Source organism: Homo sapiens, chromosome 8 (genome assembly GCF_000001405.40).
Source record: "Homo sapiens chromosome 8, GRCh38.p14 Primary Assembly".
In the NCBI taxonomy this organism is placed as follows: domain Eukaryota; kingdom Metazoa; phylum Chordata; class Mammalia; order Primates; family Hominidae; genus Homo; species Homo sapiens.
In genome coordinates, this window is record NC_000008.11 from 129,985,635 (window position 1) to 130,012,557 (window position 26,923).

A 26,923-nucleotide genomic window follows, 5' to 3' on the forward strand; every position below is an offset into this window, starting at 1 on the left:
GATTGCTCTCAGAAAAAAAAAATGCTTCAGAGCAAATAGAGTGAGTGTGGCACAGGTTGTCTGGCAGGACCTCAGGGTACAGGGCAGCAGGTCCTGAACAACCACACCAGCCCAGAGCAGTCGCCCTCCACTTTTCTCAGTCCACCTCCACAACAAATCAATGCAACATTCACTTTGCAAAAGGCCCACTGAAAAGCCCCTGAGGGTGAGCAGGTGTTGGGAAGGGATGGAAATGAGGAACAGTCTACCCCAGCCCTACCCTGAACACTTTCAAACCAGCCACTTCCCACCGGCATGGCTGCCCAGCTGTTAAAATACTGAGTCCTTCCACACAGGCTGGGAAGTAGCTGCTGCCCCAGGAGTCCTCACCCTAAGTGTCCCTCCCCCAGCACTCCCAGACCTCCCCCAGGATGCAGCAAGGAAAGAATTAGTGTCAGGGCACCAGTAGAGGCTTCCAGAAAGTACTGCGATCTGTGCCCGAGGTTAAATATTCTGGCCATCACCCCTGAGCACTGGTAAGGGGCATGAAGATGCAAACGAAATTCTGGGGGATTCAGAAGAGGGACAAGGTTTCAATAAATGATTGCTAAAGGAAGAGAGAGGGGAAGCAGGTGAAGTGGAGACAGAAGGGAAAGTGATTCAAGTCGTAGTTCAGTGGCCCCGAGGACAGGCCCCAGAACTGCCCACACCTCCCTCCTCTAGGCCACTCACTCTATCCCAGTTCAGGTCACCATTGCAGAAGTCTCCCTAGCCAGGTGCTACAGTTTAAACATTTGTCCCCCTCAAAATTCATGTTGAAACTTAATCCCCAATGTGGCAGTGTTCAGAGGTGGGACCTTAAGAGATGGCTAGATCCTGAGGGCTCTGCCCTCGTGAATGGATTCATCCATTCATGGATTAATAGGTTAATGGATTAATGGGTTATCTTGGGATTGGGACTGGTGGCTTTAGAAGAGGAAGAGAGACCTGAGCTAGCACGAGCTCTCTCAGCCCCTCACCATGTGATGCTCTGCACAGCCTCGGGAATTTGCACAGATTCCCCACCAGCAAGAAGGCCCTCACCAGATGCAGCCCCTCAACCATGGACATCTCAGCCTCCAGAACTGTAAGAAATAGCTTCCTTTTCTTTATAAGTTACGCAGTTTCAGGTATTCTGTTGTAAGCAACAGAAAACGGACAAGACACCAGGCAAAAGCAAATCCAGCACTGCATGCCAGCCTCCAAGCCCCTTCTGGTAATGGCACTGTCTTCCTCTGGGGCATCCCCTAACCCTCCCCTAATGCTCCAGGGGTGGCACATTACCTAGAGGAGGACAGTCAAAGCACGGAACCTCCAGAACCAATAGACGGCTCAAATGCAGCCATATGCCCCTAACTAGACAGTAAGAGACTTCTCTCACACTTTGGCTGAAGCCACTAGGAAAGGGGTACCTTCCCCCTACCCTACAGCGTTGCTAACATGAGTGGATAAAAACCTGAATCCAAGCTGATGGCCTCTTGCCATCTTGAAAGGAGAGACTGCTTGAGAAACAAGAAAGAAAAGCAGGGCCACGACACAGGAGACAAAACCTGGCCCACACAGCTGGGGCCCCTGGATCAGCCATGCCTAACCAGGTAGTGACTTGACACAATAAATGATCTTTTCTAGATTTAAGCTACCTTGAGTTTGGTTACTGTCACTTGCAACATAACGCTGACACAATGTTCTGCGGGTTAATGAGAGGCTGCTGGTTGCTACTAGGTCCCACTTCCTACCCTGGCTACCATTTCGGGTCTGACTGTGGCTTGTTGATGGCACCTGGGAGGCTGAGCTAAGTCCCCAAGCCCTCCATTCATGCAAACACACCATCCCTCTCTCATTGTGGGCCCCGGACTACATTCTCTCGCCTGCCACCTCCCACCTTTTCTTTTCTTTTTCTTGTCTTTTTTTTTTTCTTTTTTTTTTTTTTTTTATGAGACTGAGTCTCGCTCCGTCGCCCAGGCTGGAGGGCAGTGGCACGATCCTGGCTCACTGCAACCTCCACCTCCTAGGTTCAAGCGATTCTCCTGCCTCAGCCTCCTAAGTAGCTGGGATTCCACAGGCAGGCGCCACCTCGCCCAGTTAATTTTTGTATTTTGAGAAGAGATGGGGTTTCACCATGTTGGCCAGGCTGGTCTCAAACTCCTGGCCTCAAGTGATCCACCTGCCTCGGCTTCCCAAAGTGCTGGGATTACAGTCGTGAGCCATCGCGCCCGGCCCCACCGTTTCTAGTACACAAATCCTCCGCTGGCTCCCACGGCCTACAGACTGGGACGCAAGTCCCTTTAATACACCTTACAAAGCCACCATCAGCTGACCCTGATGTCTTCAATGTAAAGTTTTTGTATCGGTTGGAACCCTGCGAGCACGCCAACAGACAACACGAGGCGGTGTGGAGCAACATGCTGTTTTAATGAGCGCCTGGATGCAGGCGGGCTGAGGCCTAAAATGGCGTCAGCCCCAAGTGAGGACGGAACAAAGGTTTCATAGTCTCCTGTAACAGGAAGTCTCCTAGTCGTACGAAACTGCTACGTGATACCCGGATGGCCTCTTTCTCGATCTTCAGGGGTACGTATCTTCCGGCCAGGGCAGGTGTCTTCCGGCCGGCTCTCTTCCTGATTCCGCTATCTTGCTTCGGCACGCTGCTGACGCAAGTAGCCTTGCGCCCTGGGACTGGGCCTGAGAAGGGAGGAGTGATGCATCTCCTTAAGCTTTCAGGCCCCGGGGAGAATCTTACACTCAGGAACCCTCTAATTCAGCCACGTGGACCTGTGAATGTTCTTTGACTATGCTGAGATCCTTCCCACCTCCAGGCATTTGCACGTGTCACCTGACAGGAACAGTGTTTCCGAATGTTTAGGAGTCTTAGCAAGCCCACCTTATACCATAAGCTCTCTGAGGATGAGGGTAACTCCTCATGTTCTATAACCCACATCCAGTCCACTGAGGTCAAAGCCTCTGCTCCCTGTGGGCGTTGGATAAATATTGAAAGGACCTCATAAACATAGCTTCTTCCCCTCCGTGATTACCAAGGCCCATAATCCCCCAAGCTGTCTAACACCCACACTGGGACAGAAAGAGGCTGAGTTCAATATGTCCTTGTTATGTAAATTATGGCGGGTGGGGTTTTTTTTTCTCCTTGTTTTAATTGAAAAACGACCAGATGTGTACATTTCAGCAAGAGCCCTAAGGAAAAAATCTACAAAGAAAACTTCTCTCAACGCTGCACATGAACTGAGAGCGCTTATCATTGCAACGTTGGGAGAGTTCATTTCAAAATAGACCCTGGAGATCTTCTAGTACAACCTTCCCATTTTACAGAAATGGAAACTGAAATTTCAAGAAGCGAAATCACCGTCCAGCATCACACAGCTAGGAGGCTGACCTGCCAGGACAAATACCAGGTTCTGTCTTTTCCCCCCAACATTTATTAATAACTGAATCTTCATTTTCACTTTTCTTTATTACAACACTCATTACGCACTCAAGAATGGAAGCCACAGAGAAGCATATGTGTTTTCGGCTCTTTGCACCACCTCTCAGTGGGTCTCTGGAAAATGGGGTCTCTGTGTTTACCAGCAGGACGACTGGAGCCTTCCAGGCGTTAGACTTTCTGTGGTCTCTCACCCTCTCTCCTACCGGTAAATATGGCCAACACCAGCAGCACAGATGGCAGCTGCCCACTGAGCAATGAAAGGCGGTCTCTACTTCCCAAAGCGGACCGAGGCTGTTCTCAAGTTTCCATCTCACTGATTATTTTGAAGGAACTCAAATTAAGTTACTCCTCAGACAATCTCTGATTTTGGCAAGCACCTAAATCAACACGTAAGGGGCACTCTGAGTCGTTCCCTCTGCAGGGACCAGGGTGTAGGTAGCAGGTGCATGGCCAGAGGGGGTCCTCATGAAGGCAGCAGAGCAGCACAACCAGAAGTCACTCCCACCCCAGCCTCAGGACGTGTTCAGGACCTCGCAAGCCTGATGCCCTTTCTTTTTTTTTTTTTTTTAATTATACTTTAAGTTTTAGGGTACATGTGCACAACGTGCAGGTTTGTTACATATGTATACATGTGCCATGTTGGTGTGCTGCACCCATTAACTCGTCATTTACATTAGGTATATCTCCTAATGCTATCCCTCCCCCCTCCCCCCACCCCACGACAGGCCCCGGTGTGTGATGTTCCCCTTCTTGTGTCCATGTGTTCTCAGTGTTCAACTCCCACCTATGAGTGAGAACATGAGGTGTTTGGTTTCTTGTCCTTGCGATAGTTTGCTGAGAATGATGGTTTCCAGCTTCATCCATGTCCCTACAAAGGACATGAACTCATCATTTTTATGGCTGCATAGTATTCCATGGTGTATATATGTGCCCTTTCTTATTTCACATCGTTGACTTTCCGAGGCAGTAAGAGGGCCACCTCTCCAACTTGTCCTCAGTTTTAGAGCACTTCCCCATCTATGAAGGCACAGTTTTCTTCTCCATCTCTTCTACTAGGCTGTGCTCTCCCTGGTGCCCAGCACAGTGTGGGCACCAAGTAGGTGCTCCATAAACACGTGAATATACATATATGTATATACTGTATATGCATGTTTTATACATACAAACATGTTTATTTGTAGCATATAGTTGGCATTCAATAAACGCTTGTTTTATGTAGTCTTAACACACACATGCATATGCATGCTTTATATATCTAGATAAAGTATGTTTCATCTATAATACATAATAGGTGTTCAGTAAATGACTGGTATATACGTAATATGTATAATATTTCATGCTGCTGAGCAAATGAATAGGTAAAGAACAATACGGTGTGTGTGTGTGTGCATGCATGTGTGTGTGTATGCGTGTGTGTGTGTGTGTGTGTGTGTGTATATATTTTTTTTCTTCCCCAAGACAGGGTTTCACTCTGTCAGGCTAGAGTGTAGTGGCAGGATCACAGCTCCCTGCAGCCTCAAACTCCCAGGCTCAAGCGATCCTCCTGCCTCAGCCTCCCAAGTAGCTGGGACTACAGGTATGTGCCACTACACCTAGCTAATTTCCTTTTTGTTTTTTTAGAGACAGCGTCTCACTATGTTGCCCAGGCTTGTCTTGAACTCATAGCCTCAAGCAGTCCTCCCACCTCAGCCTCCCAAGGTGCTAGGATTAGAGTTGCAAGCCACTGTGCCCAACCAAGACATGGTTTAAAGGTACAACAAGGCCAGGCACGGTGGCTCACACCTATAATCCTAGCACTTTTGAGGGCCAAGGTGAGCGGATCACCTGAGATCAGGATTTCAAGACCAGCCTGGCCAACATGGCAAAAGCCCATCTCTACTAAAAAGACAAAAAATTAGCCAGGTGCAGTGGCAGGCGCCTGTAATCCCAGCTACTCGGGAGGCTGAGGCAGGAGAAACGCTTGAGCCCAGGAGGTGAGGGTTGCAGTGAGCCGAGATCGCACCACTGCACTCCAGCCTGGGCAACAGAGCGAGACTCTGTCTCAGAAAAAAAAAAAAAAAAAAAAAAGGTACAACAGGCGAGGAGTTGAAATGAAAACTCCAGGAGGGCAAATACTGTGTCTTTTGTTCTCCATTGTATCTCTAGGCCCTAACACAGTGCCTGCCTGGCACTAAGTATGTGCTCAATAAATACTGGCTGAATAGAATGGACATTTGAAAGTCTTCTCCAAAACTCATACTGAAACGTAATCCCCAATGTGGCTGTATTGAGAGGCAGGGCTTTTATGAGGTGATTGGATCATGAGGACTCTGCCCTCGTGAATGGATTAATCCATTCATGGATTATGGGTTGGTGAGTTAATGGATTAATGGGTTATCATGGGAGGACAACTGGTGGCTGTATAAGAAGAGGAAGAGAGACCTGAGCTACCAATGTAAGCAAGCTTAGCCCCCTCACCATGTGATGCCCTGCACAGCCTTAGGACTCTGCAGAGAGTCCCCACCAGCAAAAAGACTCACCAGACGCAGCCCCTCCACCTGGGACTTCTCAGCCTCCAGAACTGTAAGAAATAAATTTCTGGCCAGGCACGGTGGCTCATGCCTGTAATCCCAGCACTTTGGGAGGCCGAGGCAGGCAGATCACTTGAGGCCAGGAGTTCGAGACCAACCTAGCCAACATGGTGAAACCTTGTCTCTACCAAAAAATACAAAAATTAGCTGGGTGTGGTGGCACGCACCTTTAGTCCCAGCTATTTGGGAGGCTAAGGCAGGAGAATCGCTTGAACCTGGGAGGCGGAGACTGCACTGAGCTGAGATTGCGCCACTGCACTCCAGCCTGGGCAACAGCAGAGTCGCAAAAAAAAAAAAAAAAAAAAAAAAAAAAACAATAGGAAGCTATTAAGGGTTTTAAGCAGAGGTGTGGTATGATCCGAGTAATACTTTTTAGGCTGAGCATGGTGGTTCACGCCCGTAATCCCAGCACTTTGGGAGGCCTGGCTGAGGCATGCAGAGTGCTTAAGCCAAGGAGTTTGAGACCAGCCTGGGCAACATAGCGAGACTCTGTATCTACAAATAATAGAAAAATTGGATAGGTGTGATGATGCATGTCTATGGTCCCAGCTATTCGGAGGGCTGAGGCAGGAGGATTGCTTGAGCTCAGGCGGTCAAGGCCCTCCAGCCTGGGCAACAGAGTAAGACCCTGCCTCAAAAAATAAAAATAAAAAATAAAACAAAAACATTTTTTAAAAATCTGATACAATCTGAAAATGAATTGGAAGTGGGGAAAATGTCCCCTCAGGACCCTGCCCACTTGTCAGAGCAAGAAATGACCCTACTGCCACCCCCTCTTGGAACAGCGCTCACAAAGATAACAGAGTTTCAGCCATCATTATTATGAGTTCACTGTTTTTCGCTGCTCTTTAACGAACACTGTGAGGCACTGTGATAAATGCTGGAGACCCTGAGATGAAGGACGCACAGACCTTGTTTTCCAAGAGCCTAAAATCCCTAATCTCCAAGATCAGCCAGTCTTTCCAGAGAAGCATTTAACTCAGACCAATACTTTTGGAAGAGGGCAGAGCTGCAGAGCCCTGATCACCCATTGTTCGTATCTCTACCTTTCTTTGTCATGTATGTGTTTATTATACCTTGCCTCTTTCCAAGAGACAGTTGAGATCGCTAACAACAAGAAAAGAACCCGTGAGAATTACAAACAGAAGAAAATATGATAGTGGGAACCATGACAAAGCAAATGGCCTGAACCTGTGGGCTGGCGACAGCTGCTGTGACTAAGCGCAAATTTGGCTCCGAGCTTCCTGGCAGCCAGGGAAGAAAGGAATACACGGCAAGAAGGAAGAGCAACCTTTCCTCTCTGGTAGCATAGTGTTTCCTGGCTGCCTTTAAATTCTACAAAACAAAGGTGGGGCCTACTGTGGATGGGCAAGGCTGGGGTCAGCAGGGTAACCGTGGTTGCAAGCACCCTCTCATTCATCTTGTTCATTACAGAACTCAACATCTTCCCCACCGGGCACGGTGGCTCACGCCTGTAATCCCAGCACTTTGGGAGGCCAAGGCGGGTGGATCACTTGAGGTCAGGAGTTCGAGACCAGCCTGGCAAACATAGTGAAACCCCCGTGCCTACTGAAAATAAAAAAAATTAGCTAGGTGTGGTGATACGTGCCTGTAATCCCAGCTACTTGGGAGGCTGAGGCAGGAGAATCACTTGAACCCAGGAGGCAGAGGTTGCAGAGAGCCGAGATCACACCACTACACTCCAGCCTGGGTGACAGACTAAGACTTTGCCTGAAAAAAACAAAAAAAGAACTCTGGCTGAACACAGGGGCTCACACCTGTAATCCCAGCACTTTGGGAGGCCAAGGCAGGCAGATCACTTGAGGTCAGGAGTTCAAGACCGGACTGGACAACACAGGGAAACCCAGTCTCTACTAAAAATACAAAAATTAGTCAGGTGTGGTGGCAGGCACCTGTAGTCCCAGCTACTCGGGAGGCTGAGGCAGGAGAATCGCTGGAACCCAGGAGGCGGAGGTTGCAGTGAGTCAAGATCATGCCACTGCATTCCAGCTTGGGCGACAGAGTGAAACTCTCTCTCAAAAAAAAAAAAAAAATTAGCCGGACGTGGTGGTTCACACCAGTAGTCCCAGCTACTTGTGAGGCTGAGGTGGGAGAAGCACTTGAACCCAAGAAGTGGAGGTTGCAGTGAGCTGAGACCGCACCACTGCACTCTAGCCTGGGTGACAAAACCAGACCCTGTCTCAAAAAAAAAAAAAGGAGTCCTTGTGCCACCACAGCACCTCTGCCTACCTCCCTCAATTCTCCCACCATCTGGACACCATCATCCAGTTGTGTGTCTCTCTCCACCTCTGGACTGTAAGCTCCTTAAAGTCCAGGATTACTGCTTGGTTATATACTGAATTGTGTCCCCCAAAATTCATACACTGAAGTCTTGACCCCTAATGTCAAAGAACGTAACCTTATTTGGATTTAGGATCTTTGCAGATGTAATGAGTTAGCATGTGATCATAGAGGAGTAGGGTGGGGCCTAATAAGGTGATAACCACGTGAAGACACACACACACAGGGAGAAGGCCACGTGAACACGAGCAGACGGTGTCACACCTGCAAGCCAAGGTACGCCAAAGACTGCCCCAAAACTCCAGAAGCTGGGGGGGGTGGCATGGAACAGACTCTCCCACACATCCTCAAGAGGGAACCAACCCTCCCGGCACCTTCGCCTTGGACTGCCAGTCTCCAGAACAGCTCTCAGACAGTAGATGTCTGTTGAGTCCCCAGTTTGTGAGATGTGTAAAGCAGCCCCGGGAAGCTGATACAGGTTTCTTTATCTTTGTATGCCTGTGCTTAGCACAGTGGCTGCCACACAGAAGGTGGGTTCACCTCTATGGAACTGAACCGCAGAAGCCTGGGTGTTCAAGGCACGGCATCAGGCTGGGGGGCCATCTACCTCCCAGAATGGGAGGCAGGTGCAGAGAGACACCCAAGCTCCCCGTTTCACCATGTCACCAAGGCCCACAGCAGGCACAGGGTGCCTTGCTACAGCCTGGCGGTACACACCAGTCAGGGCTATGGAACATCGACAACAGAAATCAGCTATGACTATTTTATGGAAAAGAGGATTTTGATGAGAAAATATGAGAAACTCCCAGAATCAACAGGCAAAGTGCAGAGCCATGCTCAGACAAAGGACCACGGATACTGTGCAGGGGGAAAATGTGGCCAAGGCCACGTCACAGGACGTCTGCTGCAGACACTGCCACTCCTACTGGGCCTCAACTCTAAACAACCTCTTCCTGCCCCTGCATCTGTGCAGTACTCAGCCCAGGGTCAGAGCAGAGGGTGGCAGTGGTCATGTGGCCAAGCTGAGGCCACAGGCTGCGAGAAAGAATGTGTGGTCCACCTCAGCTTCCATACTGGCAGAAGAGGCTCTGCCTCCCTCCAAGACTTACATACTGAGGGTTCCCCCAACCAGGAAGGTGGGTGGAATGTTGAGCACCCCAAAATATAAAAAGTACCCATGAGACCTACCAACCCACCAAGCTGCAGAATTAAGTAAAGGTAGATCCCTGAGTGCCATCACACCATGACTGAGTCCTACAGAGACCTACAGAATGGACTCAGGCTCCCAGGGTGGCGGAAGTGAGGGAGAGGCCTCTGCATGTCTACACAGCCCCAGAGCCAAGTGTGAACAAAGGAAGTGTTTCTTCATCTCTTACCACAGAGAACAAGTGTGAAGCAGAATTTCAAGCATCTGCTATTGCAAAACATCTAAAGTAGTAGCAAAAGGTCATTTCCAGAAACATCCCTCTTCCCCTACCCTAGAAGCCATTCAGCATCAGTTACATTGTGAATAACACTATCTGAAGCTTGTTCATTCATTCAGCAAACTGTCCTAAGACCCAGATGTGCCTGGCCTCGTGCTGGGCACTGGAGTTACAAAGATGAATGAGTTGCCATCCCTGACCACAAGCTCAGTAAGCTGGAGGAGAGGAGAACAGAGAAGGCTTCACTGGGGATGGCAACTGTCATGGAGGGTTAGAGGTTAGTGATGTGAATTTGCATTCCAGATGTTTTTTAGCATTTGCTGGGCATCACAGATTTCTAAACACACACACATACACACACACATACTTCCTCCCAGTCAGTTACCTCCTTAATCAGCCACCAGCCCGAGGACCGTGGTCCAGAGGACTAGGCCTGGATATGCAAACCTAGGTCCTTTTAGGAAGGGCTGCAGGCTACCAGGTAGGCTAAAGATGTCAACATGGTAGATGGCAATCTGCTTCCCTGGGTGGAAGACAAGACACAGAGGCTGACCCCAACACGCCAGTTGGCTGTGCTCTTGGGCAGACCTTAGCTCTTGGTCAGCAGCTGGTCCTCAGGAAACTGGGAAATGAACCCTGTTTTAGGTGCCCCTGCTCTACCCTCCACAATCATAATACCAGCGCTTACCATTTGCACTGCACACTCCAGTTTGTAAGACACTTTTACAGGCATCCACTCCTTCATTCATTCATTGAACACCAAGGCACTTTGCTTAGAGCTAAGAACCTAAAGAGTAATTAATCACAGCCGCTAGCCGATTGGTTGCCACTTCCTATGGGAAGCCCTCCTTAACCTCTCAGGCTGGGATCAATGTCCCCCAACCCCCACCTCACACCCCACAGGCCACGGCAGCTCAGACTTCCCTACATCACAAGCTCCCTGTATCAGCACTGGGTCTCCTTCTATCTAAACTTCCTGGTTTAGATGTGAAAGGGACTCATCCACCCCATCCACCACTGCATCCTCTGAGCCTAGTACAGTGCCTGGCACACAGTGAAGCAGAATGGATGTCCTGAGGAAGTGCCAGTGGGAAGACCCAGGAGGACAGAGGGGCCGTGGGGAAACAGAAGCCAAGTGGGAAAGGGCAGGGGAGACTCAAGGTAAGAATCTGGCATTATCATTCCCTACTCATTTGTGGATTAGGACATTTATCTCAGAGAGCTTGAGGGACTTGCCCACAATATTACTGCTAGTAAACTAGCTGGGTCTCTGCACTCACTCTCTTCATACCAATTTCCAAACCAACTCTCTACATCTCAGACAGCTTTGAGCCCTCCCTCCCCCACAGCCCGCAGAATTCCATCTCTCTTCCTGTGACCAACTTACTGTTTGGGATCTAATGTATTCTGTACCCTCCCTCCGGGGTATTTTTTTTAAGATACCCTGAAGATAGAAGCCTGTGATTAAAAGAAAGAAAAGGATTCCTAACGATGGAATGGCAGGAACTCACTTATTCATTAAACAAATATTTACTGAACACCTAGAGTATGTTCTATTCTAAGTGCAAATATACCAGCGTGAACACAGGCAAAAATCACTGCCCTCTAAGATACCATCATGAAATGGTGTTATGAAAACCCAGTATGCCTTTGTGAAGGAAGGAAGGAAGGAGGGAGGGAGGGAGGGAGGGAGGGAGGGAGGGAAGGAGGGAGGGAAGGAAGGAAGGAAGGAAGGAAGGAGGAGGAGGAGGAGGAGGGAGGAAAGGAGGGAGAGGGAATACCAAGTGATCTATTCAAGATGTCACTTAAGCTGACCCAGGGAACATGGTCTATTGGGGGCGAGGAGACACCACACAATCCTTCACCCCAAGACCACTCTATTATCTACTGCAGGATACCCTGTCCTCATTCACTGTCCTTTCAATATCCACAGTAGAAGAGAAACAGACAGAATGAGCCTCCTTTTTTGGCCATTGCTGGCTTCCTAATTAAAGTCAAGGATTTGTGTTTATTCAGGGTCTATAAACACAGACCCAAAAAAGTGTTTAAGAGAAAGCAGATGAAATGTGGGTAAGGACTAGCTAATAAAATCACGGGAAAATGCTGTGCGTTTTCAGTCATGAATGTGATTAAACAAAACTTGCAGGAGGATGCTCTGAGGGCCAAGGCACATAAATGTGTGCAGGGCCTGAGCTTCCAGGGGAAAATGTAAACCATAACTTCCTGCAGAATTAATTGGTCCCTGGTGGGAGATACGTGCTAAGTTCCTCTGGACAGAGCCAGAGAATCACGATGCAGCTAATGTGGGTTCCCCTCCCCCTCCTGCCACTAGGTTGTCACATAGCCTGTCAAGACTGCATTTTAAAATCCTGTGGATTTGCAGGTTCCTTGGGGACAGCCTTTGGAGGAAGAAACTCTGCTCAAATTACAAGAGGCACCTAAAGAAGCTCAGAAACAGGCCAGGCGCAGTGGCTCACGCCTGTAATCACAGCACTTTGGGAGGCCGAGGCGGGCGGATCATGAGGTCAAGAGATCGAGACCATCCTGGCCAACATGGTGAAACCCTGTTTCTAATAAAAATACAAAAATTAGCTGGGCGTGATAGTGCACGCCTGTAGTCCCAGCTACTCAGGGGGCTGAGGCAAGAGAATCGTCTGAACTCGGGAGGCAGAGGTTGCAGTGAGCTGAGATCGCTCCACTGCACTCCAGCCTGGTGACACAGCGAGACTCTGTCTCAAAAAAAAAAAAAAAAAAACAAAAAAAACACCTCAGAAACGGAGGCTGCCCCTTCCAGAGCACTGTCAGCTCATCGCAGGACCTCAGTGTCCACATCTGGCCACTGCACCAGATACTGGCTAAGGTCCCTCCCAATAACAGCTTCTCACACACTACGTCCTTCCAAGTCGGTACCTGGGTACAGAGGAGGACCCTGTTATGAAATATATGGGGGTCTGGTCTGAATTTGAACATGAGTGGCAAAGATGTTGAGGAACCCTGAGGATTCCACAAGGAAGTGGATGACTTTGCAGAGATCAAAGAGAGCAAAGGAGGGGTAACATCCAGGGCCAGCCTTAATGAAACCCTAATGCACAAGTTTCCACAATTAAGGACAATAATGGGACAGGAACCAGTGGGGCCCAGAAAACAATCAATGCCTTTGATTAAGCACTGCTGACGAAATTTCCCATTGGTGCTTTAATATGGCTCCCCGGGGGGGTTGTTGGCTTTGCAATGTCTTAAGGAAACTCATCTCTTTTTTTTTTTTTTAGATGAATTCTTGCTCTGTCGTCCAGGGTGGAGTGCAGTGGCATGATCTCAGCTCACTGCAACCTCTGCCTCCCAGCTTCAAGTAATTCTCGTGCCTCAGCCTCCCAAGTAGCTGGGATTACAGGCATGTGCCACCCCACCCGGCTAATTTTTGGATTTTTAGTAGAGACGGGGTTTCACCATGTTGGCCAAGGTGGTCTCGAACTCCTGACCTCAAGTGAAATATATAAACCCCTTTCTGACTTTTTTCTTCTCCTTCTTCTTTTTTTGAAAATTCAAGACATGGTGCTCGATCAATGCTAAGTAGAACAGAGAGCCAGGAAGCTCATCTTTAATTCAGCGCCGACAATCCTCAGCTCAGCTCAAACTTGGCAAAACGCTTTCTTCCCTCGCATCTATTCATAGCCGTCTGTTCCTAGAGTTAACGCTCAATTATTCACCCTAACAGAGGAATTGTCCCATGCTCTGAGAATAACGTGGGGGGGGTGGGACGCAGGAGGGGCAGAGGAGCAGGGACAGAGTAGAAGAGACCCCAGCTGCCGCCAAGTAGGCAGCCACACTCCTCTGAGAGAGCAGCAAGGTGACAACACCCTCCAGGCATGGCCAGTGGGGAGGAGCCGACCTTAGTCACCAGGGCCTGCAACACACCAAACATGCTGAACTGCATCCACCAGGCCCGTCTCGGGATCCCTGTCCACAGGGAAGGGAAGGGAGGCTCAGACAAGTGACATGACCCCCCAGGAACACAGAGTGAGCAAATGGCAGGGCTAGTGACACGATGCAGAGGCAAGGCCCACGTGCGCCACGCACCCAAGGACCAGATGCAATTGACACCCTCAGGTGATGAAAACCTTGGAGCTGCCACAGGCCCCAACTCCTCCCAGAACTAAACCTTTTACCAGAATTGCTTCCTGCCTGGTGGGCACCCCCAACGATTGGCTAAGTTGGATGGAATCTCCCACAAGGTTTTGTGCTTTTGTATTTTTAATATGCTGGAGACAGAGTCTCACTCTGTTGCCCAGGATGGAGTGCAGTGGCACGATCACGGCTCCCTGAAGCCTCGACCTCCCGGTTCATGCAGTCCTCCCACTTCAGCCTCCCGAATAGCTGGGACTACTGATGAGTGCTACCACGCCCAGATAATATTTTTATTTTTTTGTAGAGATGGGGGCTTACTGATGTTGCCCAGGCTGCTCTGGAACTCTTGGGCTCAAGCGATCCTCCCGCCTCTGCCTCCCAAAGTGTTGGGATTACAGGCATCAGCCACTGCACCCAGCCTCCCATAAGGTTTTGATGAGGATTAAACGAGATGATGTACACCCAGCAGAAACCTCTACTGTTACCGTGTCCCCCTTGTGTTTTAGTCCTTCATTTTCTTCCTCTGACCCTCGAAACTGTAAGGACAAGGAGCATGCATGACTCAGCATGACTCAGCTTGGTGAGCCCAGGGCCCAGCTCAGCAAGTAGCTGAGTTCATTCTTCACTCCTTCAGCCACAGCACCTGACTTACTTATCACTTCCTTTCCCAGGTGCTGAGGAGAAGAGAGCCCAGATGTGAGGACAAGAGAAAGGTGGGGTAAGGGATAGAGACGGGGAAGACAATGAGCAAACCTAGGGTTTTTTCTGGACATTCAATAAATGCCTATTTGAGATGCTAAGACATGTCCCCCTTTTGCATCTAATCACAGAAATACTTATATACACACATCAAAATGATAAATCCTGGGCATGAAATGAATAGTTTTAAAGATGCCAATTTAGGCCAGGCACAGGGGCTCACGTCTGTGATACCAGCACTTTGGGAGGCTGAGGCTGGCAGATCACTTGAGGTCAGGAGTTCGAGACCAGCCTGGCCAACACAGTGAAACCCCATCTCTACTAAAAATATAAAAATTAGCCAGCCGTGGTGTCTCAAGCCTACAGTCCCAGCTACTCAGAGGCTGAGGCACTAGGATCACTTAAACCCAAGAGGTTGAGGTTGCAGTGAGCCAAGACTGCACCACTGCACTCCAGCATGGGTGACAGAGCAAGACTCTGTCTCAAAATAAAATAATAAATAAATAAATATGTCAATTTAAATTATCAGCCAGGCACAGTGGAGAGAGCCTGTAGTCCCAGCCCTTTGGGAGGCCAAGGTGGGAGGATCCCTGGAGCTCAGGAGTTAGAGGCCATAGTGAGCCATGATTGCACCTGGACAACAGAGCAAGACCCTGTTTCTAAAAGAAAAAAAAAATCTAATAATAAAAAATTGTCCTCCCAAAAAAATAATTGTCCACCCAAAGTAGAAAATTAACTCATATACTCATTCATCAAACATATGTTTGGTACCTACCTACCAGGTACTTTCTATATTTGGTGCCTCCCTTTAAAAAATGGCTGAGGAGCATTGAATCCGAACCCTTCCAAAACACAGGCAAAGATGACAAGTGGGCTGCATCACACACCATAAGAGTCTGTCTGGAAATTTGCAATCCCATAAACGGTTATAGCTCAGCCAGCCGCTGGGGTGCCTTCGTCTGTCTGCTCCGTATGGGCTTCTCAGAGGCAGATCCATCCTTTTCTTCTGCCCCTGCCTCCCACCACAGAGCACAGGAAGAGGGTTCTGAAAAGTGGTCCCTCTCCCCAAGAGAAGTTGGGCACACCCTCTGCATCCTTGCTCCCTGGACGTCCAGGAGGCAGGAGCAGAGAGATTGGTCAGGTGCTTGGAGCCATAAGGTCACTCACCTTCCATTGAGAACACACTGACCACAGCTCCCACCACCTGAACCAAAGTTCATTTCGCTTTGGAAATTACATGAAGCCCCCAAACAGAAAACACTTGGCAACTGTTCGTCAGTGGCTCTCATTCATCTTACCTTTCCCTGAAAATAATTTCTTTTTTTTTTTTTTTTTTTTTGAGATTGAGTCTCACTCTGTCACCCAGGCTGGGGTGCAATGGCGCAATCTTGGTTCACTGCAACCTCCGCCTCCTGGGTTCAAGCAATTCTCCTGCCTCAGCCTCACGAGTGGCTGGGACTACACGTGCGCCACCACGCCTGGCTAGTTTTTTAAACTCCTGACCTCAAGTGATCTGCCCGCCTCGACTTCCAAAAGTGTTGGGATTACAGGTGCAAGCCACTGCACCCGGCCCTGAAAATAATTTCTATAGGACCTGAAGATGGGTACTGGTATGTGGATGTCTCTAGATTCCTTAATCCCATCAGCTGTTTGCCTGGAAGGAATGGTGAGATTCTAGAAAAATCTTGTGACCTCCCTCTGACCCCAGGTTTCCTCATTTATAAAACGGCAACAATAATGTCTTCTGCATAGACCTAGGAGATGTCTATGGTGGCTGTTCTATTCAAGAATTGCTAGCTGTCTTTCTTTAATCAGGCCTGTCCGTATTTCACCTCAGGGATGCCTGGGCCTAAGTTTTATTAATTGAACTGTTTTTGTTGTATATCTTTTATGAAGAGTCATCTAAACTTTGGTTTTCTCTGTTTTCCTGAAAGCAGCAGTATTTTAGGTTTCTTAGAGAAGAAGAAAAGAGGCCAAGCTCAGTGGCTCACATCTGTAATTCCAGCACTTTGGGAAGCCAAGGCGGGAGGACTGTTTCCGCTCAGAAGTTCTAGACTAGCCTGGGTAACATAGGGAGACCCCATCTCTACAAATAATTAAAAAATTAATCAGATGTAGTGGCATGCACCTGTGGTCCCAGCTGCTCGGGACGCTGAGGCAGGAGGATCACCTGAGCCAGAGAGGTCGAGGCTGCAGTGAGCTGTGATCACACCACAGCACTCCAACCTAGGCAACAGAAGAGAAGAAAAGAAGAGGAGACTCTTAGTGGAGAGGAAAAAAGAAGGGGAGAAGGGAAGGTTTTCTTACAATAAAAGTAACATAATCACATTAGAAAAAAACGTGAAAATGAGAGAAAGGGAAAGAATATCTCCATATTCTTATCTCCCTCACACAACCTCTGACACCATTTTGGTCTATTTCCTCAAAGTCTTGTTTCCTATAAATGACAGATGGTTTTCTAAGTCTCCTCACAGCCTCCATGGCCCTGACTTTGAGGGGCCGTGTAATATTCCACCATGTGGCTAAAGCATAACTGGTTTAAGTACGTGGTTACTGTCAGACACTTAGATTATTTCCAATTTATTTTGTTACTGTAAAAAGCTGAGCTAGCCAGGTGCGGTGGCCCACGCCTGTAATCCCAACACTTTGGGAAGCCAAGCGAGGAGGGTGGCTTGAGCTCGAATTTGAGACCAGTGTGGGCAACACAGCAAGACTTCATCTCTACTAAAAATAAAAAAATGAGCCAGGTATGGTGGCAGGCACCTGTGGTCCCAGCTTCTGCCTCTAGAGATGGCACTTGCCAATCTATGTGAGTATCTGTAATTACTCCAGAGGATTCTGAAGAAGCCTATGGAATCAAATTAGGGAACCACTGCTGTTCCCAATTGAATTGAAAACTGAGGTACTCGGGAGGCTGAGGTGGGAGGATTGCTTGAACCCTGGAGGTCAAGGCTGCATCATGATCGTGCCACTACACTCCAGCCTAGTTGACAGAGTGAGACCCTGTCTTAACAACAACAACAACATAAAGCTGAGCTAAAAATCTTTATGCAACATTTTGTCCATATTTTTTACTGTTTTTCTTAGGAAAGATTCCCAAAGTGGGTTCCCTGGGTCAAAGGTTATGAAGATGTTCAAGGCTCTGGACATCAATTGCAATAGTTGCCCAGAAGGGTCACTCGAAGACCTGGTTGGCCACCAGCAAGAAAATGCATGCACCTTCACTGGGGTGACACCTTTCACAGGCATCACAGCGCAGGGTCAGGGACACCTGTTGGGTTTTCTCTGGAGTGAGTTCTTATGGAACATTCTGGTCTCTGCACATTAGCTGCACAATCTCAGGTGCTTTTCAGCTCTGCCCTGCTGAATGAGAGATCCATAATGCATGCGAGGATAAGCTCCAAGGTGGAATCAAATGCTCCCTCCTCACCCAGCAGCTATTTGGGGATGATCAGGGAAAACGAAAGATCAGGTTCCTCTTCTTTTGGTTTTAGGTGTCCAAGGTGTTGGGACAATGATGAGTTTATCTAGGGAGAAGCATTTTCCAACCACATTGATCATGGGGGACAGTGGGGGACGTTCAAAGGTCATACCTCGTTTATTCCTCATTTATTCTGAGACAGGTCCACTCAGGCAGGGCCTCAAGGACTATGGGATCAAATCCAAAGGCCCAGGAGGCCGAAGCCCTTTCAGATCAACTCCTGGATGGGGCCTTCAACTGCAGATTTGAGACGTGCAGGAACAATGACAAAGTCAGAAGGGGCCTAATTCTAGGGGCTGCGGTAACCAAAAAGACTCTGCTTTATTTATTTATCTATTTATTTATTTTGGCCTCACCAGGTCAAGAAAGGCTGTCTCCCTCTGTCCACTCTGTCTCTCACAGCAGACAACTAGACATCCAGAAACTCTCTCCAAGGTTATCACACTCAAGCATGAGAGACCCTCGGATAATCACACATACACAGGTAACACCCCCACTGGGTATCAAGACAACTTAGCACATTCCGAAGATGCCCTCAGTGCATCAAACATACAATGGGATTCCTCTGTACCCTCATTTTCTTTTTTATTTTTTGTTTAGAGACAGGGGTCTCCCTATGTTGCCCAGGTTGGTCTCAAACTCCTGGGCTCAATCAATCCTCCCACCTGAGCCTCCTGAGTAGCTGGGACGGCAGGCGTGTGCCACCCAGCCATACCCTCGTTTCACTGAGCCGAATTCAGCTATACTCAAAGGGCCAAATGCTTTTCTTTTTCCATTTTAAAAACTTTAAATAATATAAAAGTGTATTTTGCCTATTGTATTTATTTGTATTTGTTTCTACAGGTTTTTTTGTTTCTTAGTGTGGGAAAACTAGAAAGCCTGCTGGACAAATTCTAAAAGAGCTATAGTACTCTTTTTTCTATTTTTTGTATATTGTGCATTGTACTTTATCGTATATTGTCTACTGCAGTTTCTTTTATGCATTGACTCACTGATGTTCCTGTACAGCGTCACACACACAACCAGCGCATGGAAAACCAACCTTCAGGAACAACTCGGGAGATTGTCAGGAATTTTTTTTTTTTTTTTTTTTTTTGAGATGGAGTCTCGCTTTGTTGCCCAGGCTGGAGTGCAGTGGCACAATCTCGGCTCACTGCAAGCTCTGCCTCCCCGGTTCAAGTGTTTCTCCTGCCTCAGCCTCCCGAGTAGCTGGGATTACAGGCACGTGCCACCACACCTGGCTAATTTTTGTATTTTTAGTGTAGAGACAAGGCTTCACCATGTTGGTCAGGCTGTTCTCAAATTCCTGACCTCGTTATCCATCTGCCTCAGCCTCCCAAAGTGCTGGGATTACAGGCATGAGCCACCGTGGCTGGCCAGGAATTTTTTATTTTTTATTTTTTGCCTACTGTGCTGACTTCTGAACTTCACAGAATTTTTTATTTTTTATTTTTTTGCCTATTGTGCTGACTTCTGAACTTCACCATGAAGATGTGACTCTGTTGAGCAGAGTTTCTTCTCCTTTGGTGCTTTTAGGTCTTGGGGGCACGTGTCTGTCTGTTAGGAACCAGCGGAAAATCAGCCCAGCTCGGATCAGAACAGGAAACCAGGACCCAGGCTGGTGGGTGCTAGGGCAGGGCCTTGTGGCTTCACAACCCGCCTCCCAGGGACAGGCTATCTGGTCAAAAGAACTCGCCCTCCTCACTGCTGGGTCCCTTAGCGGGCTTTCACGTGCCTGGCCTGGTCCCTCCTTCTTTAAATGAAGAGTGGCCTAGATGATTGTCACACTCCTGTGTGACACTGGACAACACACATCACCTCTCTGGGCTTCCATTGCCTCTGAACAGTCTTCCACCTTCGACTGGAATCAGAGCCCCAAAAGCGAGATTCTAACAAGAGGTTACATTGTGTGAGATACTGACCTCCTCAGCATCTAGGGTGATGGGGTCCCCGGGTGGGTCACCTCTAGCTGGGAGATGCTTCCTCTTTCACAGCTCCATCTGTGCCTTAAAAATTAAAAGCTGGGAACCTATAATTCCAGCACTTTGAGAGGCTGAGGCAGGAGGATCACTTGAGCTCAAGAGTTCAAGATCAACCTGGGTAACACAGTGAGACCTCATCTCTTAAAAAAAAAAAAAAAAATGTAAAGGCTGGAAAAGATGGGACTAGGTGATCTCCACTGTCCTTTCCATCTCACACCAGCCACCCCACGCCCAACACCCTCAGAATAGATGACAACGGGCAGATTACCCTTAACAGATATTTCTCTAACCCAGTGACAGGGACCTCTGCATCAGAATCACTTAGAATGCTCATTAAAAATATGACTCCAGGCTGGGCGCGGTAGCTCATGCCTGTAATCCCAGCACTTTGGGAGGCCAAGGCAGGCAGATCACTTGAGGTCAGGAGCTTGAGACTCACCTGGCCAACATGGTAAAATACTGTCTCTATTAAAAATACAAAAATTAGCCGGGCATGGTGGTCCACACCTGTGATTCCAGCTACTCAGGAGGCTGAGGTATGAGAATCGCTTGAACCCAGGAAGCGGAGGTTGCAGTGAGCCGAGATCACGCCGCTGTACTCCAGCTTGGGTGACAAAGTGACACTCTGTCTCAAAAGAAAAAAAGAAGAAAAAGAATCTGGCTTGCCGGGTACAGTGGTGTGCACCTATAGTCCCATCTACTTGGGGGGCTGAAGTGGGAGGATCACTTGAACCCAGGAGAGTGAGTCCAGCTTGAGCAACGTAGCAAGACTCTCATCTCAAAAAATAAAATAAAATAAAATAAAATAAAATATATATATATTTATTTATTTGGGAGGCCGAGGCAGGTGGATCACCTGAGGTCAGGAGTTCGAGATCAGCCTGGCCAACATGGTAAAACCCCGTCTCTACTAAAAACACAAATTATATATATATACATATATATGTGTATATATATACATATATATGTGTATATATATACATATATATATGTATATATATATGTATATATATACACACATATATCTGGAACCTCCCACCCAGGAAGTGTAAGCACACCCAAGGTATGAGCAGATTAAAGAAATCCTGCAGAAGGGGGAACACATGCATAGAGTATGCTGGCAAGGTCACATATAGAAAATGGGTGGGGGGACTTGAAAGCAGAGGTATAAATCCTATGTGCACCTTATTTGCTCAAGTCTACATGGACCAGCATCCAAACATTGAAATTTTCCTTTCAAATTCAATCCCCCAGAGTGTATGGTCTCAGGACCCTTCTTTCCCCCAAATCTTTTCTAGTGGGGATGCATGTATGCAGACAATGCAAAGTGCTACAAATCGCAACACCAAATGCATCAAGAGGTAGATTATTAGTATGAGTCAGTTTCACACTAACTTTACCAAAAACCTCACTGCTCACATTAGCTCAAGTAATCTACTTACAACCACAATTATAAATTCTGAGCTTCCTTGGCTGACGAGTTTGCAGTAGGTGGTTCTTGGCCCTGAGGGCTGCTGAGATGCCCGCCGTTATGAGATGCCCACTGAGAAAACCACCGCCCTCTCCCAGCAGGGTCCAGCAGGAGCAGTGTCTGCTCTCGGCTACACAACTCCATTCATAGACTTTTCCAGTTACGTTTGAGGTTCACCCAAAGGAGGTAGTAAAAACAGGAGGTGGGCACTGAAGCTGGCCTGGTATGTTTGAATTCCAGCTCTGCTTTTTATCAGCCTCCAGGTTTTCTCAGTTTCCTCATCTGTAAAACGGGAATAATATTACCTGCCTCACAGAGTTACCATGAAAGTAAGAAATAAAATATTCAAAGTATATGACATGGCTGGGCGCAGTGGCTCACGCCTGTAATCCCAGCACTTTGGGAGGCCGAGGCAGGTGGATCGCCTGAGGTCAGGAGTTCGAGACCAGCCTGCCCAACATGGTGAAACCCTGTCGCTACTAAAAATACAACATTAGCTGGGCGTGGTGGCACAGGCCTATAATCCCAGCTACTTTGGAGGCTAAGGCAGGAGAATTGCTTGAACCTGGGAGACGGAGGTTGCGCTGAGCCGAGATTGCACCATTGCACTCCAGCCTGGGCAACAAGAGCGAAACTCCATCTCCAAAAACAGCAACAACAACAAAGTACAGGACACTTGCTCCATGCTCCATAAAAGAAAGTTAATATTGCCATAAAGGAGACCAAAAAAATCACAGAAACCCACGACGTGATCCTGATGGGAGCCCTGTTAAGAGGGGCTTCCAGGCCAGGCATGGTGGCTCACGCCTGTAATCCCAGCACTTTAGGAGGCCGAGGCGGCCAGATCATCTGAGGTCAGGTGTTCAAGACTGGCCTGTCCAACATGGTGAAACTCCATCTCTACTAAAAGTACAAAAATTAGCCAGGTATGGTTGCGGGCGCCTGTAGTCCCAGCTACTCGGGAGGCTGAGGCAGGAGAATTGCTTGAACCCGGGAGGTGGAGGTTGCAGTGAGCCGAGATCGTGCCACTGCACTCCAGCCTGGGTGACAGAGCGAGACTCTGTCTCTAAATAAATAAATAAATAGAGGGGCTTTCTGCCAGGTCCATAGCTGCCTGCACACATAGTCCAGAAATGTGACCTCACTCCCTAGCTCCTGCTCCACTCGCCACCATCAACCTGCTGGCCTGTCATTCATGGTGTCTGGTGACTCTCCCTGCCATCCCATTCCAAACCCCTCAGAAAAGCTTATCCAATTCCTGAGTGAAAAGAATGGGCCTAGAAGGGCTGAGTTTAAGTTAACCCAAAGAAATAAACCCAAACTCCTTCATTCTCCAAGCTGTTCAGGCCTCAGGGACATGTGTGGGGTGACTGTGGGGCACACACTATCATTCCCCATGTGGATCCATCACGGGGCCTAGCACACAGGAGGTGCACACTCAGTGACTGTTCTGTTGTTGAATGGCAGGATGAATCTCACTCCTCCCTCAAGACCTGAAAACTTGAGAGTTATGAAGGCATGTTTAGGAATGACTGTAAAATACCACTTTTCAGAAAACACAGAAATCTCCATTTGATTCTTTCATTTGCAAGCCTGTTTGATCTGTCTACACACTGGTTGGTCTCTCGTGTCCCAGAAGCAGAGGGCAAGACACAAAACCAGAGTTCAGGGGAGCAAAGCAGACATTTTAGGAAGTTATTGCCCAAGTTTCACTTCCACGTCGTCTTCTGCATTCTACTTCAACTCTGGTTTTGAGCAAAGCTGGGGCTGGTGAAGAAACTTCCCTTAGTCTACATGTTCCTCTCCCTGAGTCCCAGCACTGAGGCTCTGTAGACCAGGGACTCAAATTACTGAGCACTCACTGATGCTAGACCCTATGTCAGGCATATTCAGACATCTTCTGACCTAAGAGCCACAACAAGCTGGAAAACAGACACTGAGATGCCAAGAGAGGTTATGCAATGTGCAAAAGACTTCACAGTCAGGGAGTCGGGTCTGAATCAAAGATCTCCTTGGCTCCAAGGTCCTTGCTTCTCAACCTGCCACTGTCCTTTTTCAAAGGCGCCAACCACTAACATGGCAAAGTGTTTCATTTTTCATAAAGCCATCTGAGGAGTTCAAAAGCATCTTTTTTTTTTTTTTTGAGACAGAGTTTCCCTCTTGTCACCCAGGCTGGAGTGCAATGGCACAATTTTGGCTCATTGCAACCTCTGCCTCCCAGGTTCAAGCAATTCTCCTGCCTCAGCCTCCCGAGTAGCTGGGATTACAGGTGCCAGCCAACACGCCCAGCTAATTTTTGTATTTTTAGTAGAAACAGGGTTTCACCATGTTGGCCAGGCTGGTCTTGAACTCCTGACCTCAGGTGATCCACCCGCCTCGGCCTTCCAAAGTGCTGGGATTACAGGTGTGAGCCACTGCGCCCGGCCCAAAAGCATCATGAAAAACTGTCCCCCTGCATTAAATTCAGATCCCATCTCTGCCAGAAGGATAGCCCTGGACAAATCATACAGCTCTCACCCACCTGTGACTATGCCCCATGGGAGAAGGACGTGTATATGGAGGCTTTCTGCTAGACTATGCTAGATGCTTTGATACACATTATCCCACTCAATCCTCCAAACATTCCAGGGAAGCAGGTGATAGTAGCCCAGCTTCATCAATGACAATTCTGGTTCTGCAGTGGGATGTGATTTGCCCAAGGTCATGCAGCGCTGAGAAGCAGGCCCAGGGCTCCATCAGCCCTGCCATGCAATAGGCTTTGTTGAGTGAGCACTGGATGTAAATTCCAAAGAGCTTAAAGCGGCCAGACAGAGCCAGTGACAGGAGACTCTATTAGGCAGATGAGGAAAGAATGGAGCTTTTCTTCCTCCTACCGCCCAAGCCTTTCCCATCCTTAACTCCTCTGCACAACGGGGCCCTCACTGTCCTTCCCCCACCTTCTTATCAAAGGATGCTGGTGCTGGGAGGGGGAAAAGACAGAAAGAGGATTAGTCTCTGGCATGGTTTATGTTGATTTCAAAGCTGTCACTTTTCCCACATTGGGCCTTCTTTTTCACTGTGGATTTAAGTGCCTAGTCCCCTGATGAACGAAGGTCAAGGGCAGAGGTACATTTTGAACTAGAGAAAGTCCTCAGCATCCTCCTGCTCTCACAGCCTTACTGCTAAACACAGCAGTGGATGCAGAGGGTGGCACTGTGGAGCGGTGAGCAAAAACCAGGCTCAGGAGCCAGAGGCCTAGGTTCCAGTCCTGACTGTGCCTCTTGGTCAAGATGCTTCCCCCCAGGAGGTCCCAGTTCCCTTGTGTGTTAAAATTAGAGTACTGGATGCTTAGGCCTGAAACTCTGAGTATGGGGTTTCTGCTCAGTCCTTCAGCTCACACTGCCTCTCCTCCCCCGCTCCCTGAAGGCAGCCCCATCTCAATGGCTCACAGCATCTAGGCCCTCCTGGGCTTATTCAGCACCTGCTGGCAGACAGAGGTGGTCTCTCTCCCACCCCTTCCTGCTCCCACTGTCACCTGTCCTGAGGTCCATCCTAGGCCTTTGTCACTTTGTCATATGTGTGTTTTCGCATGCATGCCTCCTCCTCTAAGCTAACTTGGAAACCTCCAGGGTCATGTAGAGATTTGCACCATCAGCATCAGCCTGGCTCCTGAATGAATGAAGGGGAGAGGGTCAGGTTGGATGATCTCCTGGCCCACTGCACTCAAAGTATGGTCTACAATCCAGAGGCATCGCATCATGTGCAAAAGTGTTCAAAATGCAGCATCTCACCCTGCCCCAGCCCCTGCTCAGAACCTCCGAGGCAATCCCCACGTGATGCGCAGCACACTCAAGTTTGGAAAGTTCTCTTCCAACTCCTCCCTCCCTTGCTTCTACCACCTAGAAGCCTCCGGAACTATGGCCTTAGCAGGTCTCACTAAAACATAGCCCATCATTAACCAAAAGAGATCTGCCTTAGGAACCTTCTAGAAGCCCGCCACTGACTCTCACAAGCAGAATCTGAAATGTGTGCTCCCCGGGGGGACTCCTGGCACACATTACTCAGTGGCCCTCTCCGACCCTCAAGGAAGCCCAGGAAGCTTTCAAGAACGCTGAGGCGGCCAGGCGTAATGGCTCATGCCTGTAATCCCAGCACATTGGGAGGCTGAGGTGGGTAGATCACCTGAGGTCAGGAGTTCGAGACCGGCCTGGCCAATATGGGGAAACCCTGTCTCTACTAAAAATACAAAAATTAGCCTGGTGTGGTGGTACGCGCCTGTAATCCCAGCTACTCGGGAGGCTGGGGCAGGAGAATCGCTTGAACCCGGGAGGCAGAGGTTGCGGTGAGCTGAGATCATGCCATTGCACTCTAACCTGGGCAACAAAGCAAGACTCCATCTCAAAAAATAAAAATTAGGCTGGGCATGGTGGCTCACGCCTGTAATCCCAGCACGTTGGGAGGCCGAGGCGGGCGGATCACAAGGTCAGCAGATTGAGACCATCCTAGCAAACACGGTAAAACCCCATCTCTACTAAAAATACAAAAAAAAAAGAAAGAAAGAAATTAGCCAGGCATGGTGGCGGGTGCCTGTAGTCCCAGCTACTCGGGAGGCTGAGGCAGAAGAATGGCATGAATCCGGGAGGCGGAGCTTGCAGTGAGCCGAGATCGCACCACTGCACTCCAGCCTGGGCGACAGAGCGAGACTCCATCTCAAAACTAAAAATAAAAATAAAAATAATTAAAAAAAAAAAGAACGCTGAGGCCTGGCAGAGTCAGACAGACTGGCTGCCCACTCACCCACACGGATCCCATGTCCACGTTCAGAAAGCTCTCTTCCCTCATTTCTCTACTCTTGACATTTATTCAGCTTGTAAAGAAAAGGATCCTTTCCAAAACACGTCTTCAGTTTTTTAATAAACCCCGCAATTCCTTTAATGATTTCAGATTATCTTAAATATTTATAAAAATCACTCTCAGCAACACTTCTTTAAGCAAACCTCCTCATCAACTTCGATTATTTATATATTTATGAACACGATGTTCAAGGAGCAGATGGCAGCTAGTAAGTCCTCCAAAAGAAGGAAAAAAAAAATCAATGGGACAGAATGTAAGCTCCATGACTCGTCCATGTACTCTTCTCGACAAGCTCTGGTACAATTATCTTTCCATTCAGCGGAAGCGCCACACAAAAGTCCACAATTGGTTTAAAATAGCACACTTGGACTTCATAAAGCTTGGAGGCTCCAAGTTTAATCCAGGAATGACCTGCCAGCCAAGGGCTCTATTCCCAAAGGAAACTGAAGCTCTGTCAGGGGAGGGTAAGACATTGGATGCAGGGACAGATGATGGGACCAGGGGAGGGACAGAAAGAGCACCAGGGGCTGAGGGAAGAAACAGACATTGCTGAGCACCTCTAGGTGCCATGCTCTCTGCTGGG

At 48.4% G+C, this 26,923-nt stretch overlaps 1 protein-coding gene, 1 long non-coding RNA gene, 1 other non-coding gene and 1 pseudogene across 65 annotated transcripts in view, besides 2 other annotated features; all 4 read right to left on the reverse strand.

Annotated features, from left to right (window-relative positions):
* The window catches only part of CYRIB (CYFIP related Rac1 interactor B), a 177,537-nt gene that overhangs the window by 146,042 nt on the left and 4,572 nt on the right, over nucleotides 1–26,923 (reverse strand). The window lies entirely within an intron of this gene.
* LOC124902025 (uncharacterized) lies at nucleotides 2,412–25,686 on the reverse strand. The gene is made up of 2 exons (XR_007061113.1): nucleotides 25,022–25,686; nucleotides 2,412–2,697 (listed from the first exon to the last, which is right to left on the reverse strand). It is a non-coding gene; the product is annotated as an uncharacterized LOC124902025 (long non-coding RNA).
* Nucleotides 3,280–3,439: an enhancer, noted in NCBI's record as "active region_27976". NCBI's record gives its function as "activates an Ori minimal core promoter by ATAC-STARR-seq in GM12878 lymphoblastoid cells {active_cell/tissue: GM12878}" and the evidence as "EXISTENCE:reporter gene assay evidence [ECO:0000049][PMID:35858748]".
* Nucleotides 7,313–7,813: an enhancer, noted in NCBI's record as "H3K4me1 hESC enhancer chr8:131005193-131005693 (GRCh37/hg19 assembly coordinates)". NCBI's record gives its function as "activates a minimal SCP1, AML or CMV promoter by ChIP-STARR-seq in naive and primed H9 embryonic stem cells {active_cell/tissue: H9 hESC(naive and primed)}" and the evidence as "EXISTENCE:reporter gene assay evidence [ECO:0000049][PMID:30033119]".
* Nucleotides 18,894–18,967, reverse strand: RNU7-181P (RNA, U7 small nuclear 181 pseudogene; annotated as a pseudogene).
* MIR5194 (microRNA 5194) lies at nucleotides 22,700–22,819 on the reverse strand. The gene has a single exon (NR_049826.1). It is a non-coding gene; the product is annotated as a microRNA 5194 (primary transcript).